Source organism: Homo sapiens, chromosome 1, assembly GCF_000001405.40.
Source record: "Homo sapiens chromosome 1, GRCh38.p14 Primary Assembly".
In the NCBI taxonomy this organism is placed as follows: domain Eukaryota; kingdom Metazoa; phylum Chordata; class Mammalia; order Primates; family Hominidae; genus Homo; species Homo sapiens.
Window position 1 is genome coordinate 28,130,157 of NC_000001.11, and position 6,000 is coordinate 28,136,156.

The window sequence follows — 6,000 nt, forward strand, 5'->3', positions numbered from 1 at the left end:
TTACCTAGCTATGCCTAGCTGGTCATCTAGTGATTACCTAGTTATGCCTAAGGAATAACCTGGAATGGGGGTTTTATCCTTCTCTCTTGCTGCATATCAGCACTCTGTGGCAGAAAATGGTCATAGGCAGCTCCTGAGTTCCTATCTCCCCTATTTAAGACTGAACCTGGAATTCCAGATTCCCAGGAAAGGGACTCTGATGGGCCAGTGCGAGTCAGATCCATCCATACCCCTAATCCAATCAGTCGGGCAGGGTTGAGGGACACAGATTCACATAGTTATAGAAGCCCCATCGTATCAATCATGTGACAACGGCAGGGACGATTACCAGAAAGATGGGGAGGATGCACTGAAAAGTCACCGCAAAAGGTTTCCACTGTAGGAAACTGAGGCTCAGGGAGTTGAACAATTTGCTCAAGATCACCCAGAGTTAATGAAGCCCAGATTCTAACTCATTTTGTTTTTTTCCTCCAAATCTAGGTCCTTTTCTCCATACCACCCAGCCTCCCCACAAAAAGGGAGATACCTTGGTTAGATGCCTAAGGTAAGTTCACAAGTTAATTTTCATTTAACCAGTGTTCTTTAAGCACCTGTTATGTATCAGGCACTGTTCTAGGCACTGAGGTTACATAAACAGATAAAATCTTGTCTGAAATAAAGGCAAGGTAAAAAACAAAAAACGACAACAGAGAATGAAGGCGCCAGCTCTCGTGGAGCTGACATTCTACTGAATCCCTTGAGTGAGGACAGAGGCCTCTCCTCAAGAACTGCTCCTTCAGCTGGGTCCCAGGTGGTGTGAAACATGGAGAGAACTTGGGTTTTGATGTCTGTTGTAGACATTGGCTCCTTTTATTGGCATGAACTATTCCCTTGTAGATTGCACAAGTGGCACCGATTCTTCACCTTTCTCTGTATCCACACCCTTTGTCACAAAACTTCGCGGTGCTCTGATTCTGGGCTTAGTCATGTGACTTGCAGTGGCTCGTGCCTGTAATCCCAACACTTTAGAAGGCTGAGGTGGGAGAATCATTTCAGCGCAGGAGTTCAAGATCAACCTGAGAAACAAAATGAGACCCAGTCTCTACATATAATAAAGTTTAAAAAAAAATTAGCTGAGCCCTGCGTGGTGGCTCATGCCTGTAATCCCAGCACTTCGGGAGGCCGAGGCAGGCGGATCATGAAGTCAGATCGAGACCATCCTGGCTAACACGGTGAAACCCTGACTCTACTAAAAATACCAAAAATTAGCCGGGCGTGGTGGTGGGCGCCTGTAGTCCTAGCTACTCGGGAGGCTGAGGCAGGAGAATGGCGTGAACCCGGGAGGCAGAGGTTGCAGTGAGCCGAAATCACGCCACTGCACTCCAGCCTGGGTGACAGAGCGAGACTCCGTCTCAAAAAAAAAAAAAAAAAAAAAAAAAATTGGCTGAGCATGGTGGTGCATACCTGTAATCCTAGATACTTGGGAGGCTTAGCCAGGGGTGATACCCGTGGGCTAAGGGAGGTCCCCAAATGTCAGTGGGACCTCAACCCCGGCCAGTGTCCAGGTTCTTGACCCCATCACAAGAAGGAATTAAAGGATGAATCAAAAAACAGTGAAAGTAGGCTGGACGTGGTGGCTCATGCCTGTAATCCCAGCACTTTGGGAGGCTGAGGCAGGCGGATCACTCGAGGCCAGGAGTTCAAGACCAGCCTGGGCCAGATGGTGAAACCCTGTCTCTACTAAAAATACAAAAATTAGTTGGGTGTGGTAGTGCACACCTATGGTCCCAGCTACTCAGGAGGCTGAGGTGGGAGAATTGCTTGAACACAGAAGGTGGAAATTGCAGTGAGCCAAGATAACCCCACTGCCCTCCAGCCTGGGCAACAGAGGGAGACCCTATCTTAAAAAAACAGTGAAAGTAGGGCGATTTATTGTAAAGTGAAAAGTACACACCCAGGAGAGGGGAGTAAGGGTGGACTCAAGAGAAAGTGCCACACAGTAGAGTTTGAGGTTTCTACCTTTATGGGTTTCTTTAACCAAGAGGTTGAATATTCATTAAGATTCCTGGAAAAAGGTGAAGATTTCTTGGAACTGTGGTGCCACTCATTTTTACACCTAATATGGGTGTTCTCAGAACTGTCACAGCGCTGGTGGGTGTGTAATTTGTATGTTAATAAGCATATAATGAGGTCCTGGGAGAAACCTAGGTCAAATCCAGTTTCACGTTGGGTCCAGTTGGTCTCAGCCAGCTTGGCCCACACCCTGGTTTTTCAGGGTCTTATCCCCTAGCTTCTGCAGCTATTTCAACGGTTTCATTTTGCTAGTCATGTGAAACTGCTGCCTGGAGTTTTCTATTCTCCTGTGACCACCGTGTATTATTCTTGTCTCAGGAGGATTGTTTGAGCCTGGGAGGTCAAGACTGCAGTGAGCTGCCATCGCACCACTGCACTCCAGTCTGGGCGATAGAGCAAGCAAGACCCTGTTTCAAAAAAAAAAAAAAAAGGCATGCAGTTCATATAGCGTTTTTACTTAGCAGCCTCCACCTAGTGAAACCGTCTTTGCAAAAATTATAACAGTGAAAGCGATCTGATCTAACCAACCTCCCTATCTTGCCTTTAACCTCCAATCTGCCCTTGGTCATTCCTGGACTTGGGCCAAGCTAACTTTGGGAGAAATTTAGTTTATAGCTTAAATGATAATAGCCCTTCTCCCAAACGAAATCACCTTGGTAAAACTAATGAAAGACCACCAGGTTAGGAGGATAAGAGAAGCCTGAATTCGGCTAAGATGTAGGCATAAATGATTACCAGCCATTACTCCAGAGGTCACAAGATTTGCAACTTCCTCAATTACTCCTGCAGATAACATCATTATTGTAGAACCTAAGATTGGCTTTGAGTTGTCTTTTCAGGCCTTTGCATTTCTTTTCTCTCTCTCTCTCTCTCTTTTTTTTTTTTTTTTTTTGTTGTTGTTGTTGAAACAGGGTCTTGCTCTGTTATCCAGGCTGGAGTGCAGTGGCATGATCATAGTTCACAATAGCCTCAACCTCCTGGGCTCAAAGGATCCTTCTGCCTTAGCCTCCCCAGCTGGGACTATAGGCATGCACCACCACACTCCGCTAATTTTTTTTTATTTTTAGTAAAGATAGGGTCTCACTATGTTGCCCAGGTATGTCTTGAACTTCTGAACCCAAGCTATCCTCCCACCTTGACCTCCCAAAGTGCTGGGATTACAGGCATGAGCCACTGCACCCAGCCGGCTTTTGCATTCCTGATGACCCGATGGCCCCACTGGACCCACCGACTGGATTTTGGCCCCCACCCATAAGCAGACTCAGCATGCTAGGACCATTTTCCACACCTCTATAATTGCATCCCAGCCAATCAGCAGCACCCATTCCCTAGCCACCCACCTCCCTGCCAAAGGTTATCTTTGAAAAACCTTAGCCTCCAATTTTTCAAGGATACTGCTTTGAGTAATGATAAAACGCTGGTGTCCTGTTTAGCCAGTTCTACATGTGTGAGACTCTTCCTCTATTGCAATTCCCCTATCTCGATAAATCAGCTCTATCTGGGCAGTGGGCAAGAAGAAACCACTGGGCAGTTAAACTAGCAACCTCCATTTAACCCAAAACAAAGGGCCTCCATCCCCCGCACAGTCTGTGTTCCAAGGGATGGGCCAGGGGTTTCAATGTCCTTCATAGATAAGGAGTGAATCTCTGGCTTGGCCACTCCCAGATCCCTCTTGGATCATAGGGTAATTCATAGGGTATGCTTATATTATGACTGTCAGGTGTGTCTGCCATACAACCCTTCTCACACCCCTGCCATCACCCATGAGAACATGCCAGACTTTCCTACTGAAGGAACAGACCCAGATGCCCTAGTCTTCCCAGCCAAGGTCAGACTAAATCAATCAACAGCCAGCCAACCTCCAGATGTGTAGCATGTCCAAAGCAGAACAGCAGAGCTGTCTAGCTGATCACCAGATGTATGAGTGATCTGTGATGAACGATGAATGTTTAAATGCTTCCGAAGCATGTGATTATTTGCTATTTATCACTGTTGTGGAAATAGATAACTGAAATAACCTCCTCTATCCCAATAATGTGTTAATTTCCTTTGTAGCCTTGATTGAAAAGTAACTCCAGATGACCCATTTCATTAAATAATCCATGGAGGACAGGGCCAGAGTTGATTCCATCAGACACCCTCTCCTGAGAATCTGAATTTTGAAACAGTGCGGGCAGGATAGGAGATCTTGTTGGAAATCATTCATCATGGTGGTAGTGGCAGCACTCAGGTGAAAATGTGCCTGCAACCTGATCCTAGGCCTTCCAACTCTCCTTTGGTTCCTGTGTATCCCCAAGCTTGCTTCTCCAGCTACCTACAACTTATTTGAGCCCCACCCACATCCTTCCAATAAATTCTATTTTGCTAAAAATAGGCAGAGGCGATGTCTGTTGCTTGCAACCAAGTATCCTAACTGCTACTCCACCATGTAGACCCTAATTCAAGTCCCAGGCCTGCTATTATACTTAGCAGCTGATCCTTGTCCAGGAATTGTACCCCGCCATTATCATGGGCCCAGGTTCCTTCTATCACTGTTCTACTATTGTGGCCCATAGCTTTCACCTTCAAAGTCACTTCAAGGCATAAGATGGCTGCAGGAGCACCAAATTCCAGGCAAGGAAAAAAAAAGGAGGGAAGAGCAGAAGGGGATTATAGCTGAGTAAGCTTCTTTGAAGCACTATTTCCAGATGACCTATCAACTCTTTCACTTTTAGGAGACCAGAATATTCTACCTCCCCACCTCCAAATATGCCTCTTTTGCATAAGGACTATTCTGAGCTGAAGGCAATTGAGAAGAAGCAGATACAACAAAAGGTCTCTACCCTCCCCCATTAGCCTAAAAGCAAGACATAAGTTTACAAAGGCAAAGGTGTCCTTCCTCCCCTCCCAACCACGAGAAACAGAGGTTGATCTCTGAAGACAACTTTAGACCCTCATTTGCTGGAAGAAGACACCAAAGGAATCTATGTGACAAACTTTACTAACTAGCCTTTACCTACTATTTATTTGCCTTCCCCAAATTTGCTTCCCCAGGGGACTCAAAAGTCCTTTTCTGGCCAGGCACGGTGGCTCACACCTGTAATCCCAGCACTTTGGGAGGCCGAGGTAGGTGGATCACCTGAGGTCAGGAGTTCGAGAGCAGCCTGGCCAACATGGTGAAACCTCGTCTCTACTAGAAATACAAAAAATTAGCCAGGCGTGGTTGTGGGTGCCTGTAATCCCAGCTACTCGGGAAGCTGAGGCAGGAGAATCACTTGAACTCGGGAGGCGTAGGTTGCAGTGAACCAGGATTGCGCCACTGCACTCCAGCCTGGTCAACAAGAGCGAAACTCCGTCTCAAAAAAAAAAAGTCCTTTTCCTTTGCCTTGTCACTTTTCCAAAACTTTACTGTTCTTTGTTGAAAATTCTCCATAAGCCTGAATTCAAAGCCACCTCTTTGCGACTTACTCAACCCCTGGGTAGCTCTCTTGTGAACATGAGGTATGCATGTTAATAGACTTCTGTTTATTTTTCTCGTCTTCTGTTACCAGGTTGTGTCCTAGTTAAGAACTATGAAGGGTAAAAGAGGAAGTTCTTTTTCCTCCCCTACAACTTACAGCTCATTGACCATAACTTAGTCACAGGGCTACACCTAGCTATAAGGAATGTAATCTTTCGGCTAGGTGCATTGCCAGCACCTAGATTAAAAACAGGGTTCTTCTACTTAGGAACAGGGAGACAATAGATATTAGGCAACACGCCTTCTTGCTGCAGCTAATTGCTCATGTTCAACAGTATGTATAATAATTCTTAACAGATTATAAAATGATTTCCTCTCCATTACCTTCCCAAGTTGGGCGGTGGTTTGTGCCTGTAAATCTCAGCTACCCAGGAGGCTGAGGCAGGAGGATCATTTGAGGCCAGGAGTTTGAGTCTATTACCTCCCCAGAGCCTCCTAACATATTCGTG

General features: G+C 46.0%; 1 annotated feature.

Moving 5' to 3' along the window:
• Positions 4,742–4,791: an enhancer, noted in NCBI's record as "active region_584". NCBI's record gives its function as "activates an Ori minimal core promoter by ATAC-STARR-seq in GM12878 lymphoblastoid cells {active_cell/tissue: GM12878}" and the evidence as "EXISTENCE:reporter gene assay evidence [ECO:0000049][PMID:35858748]".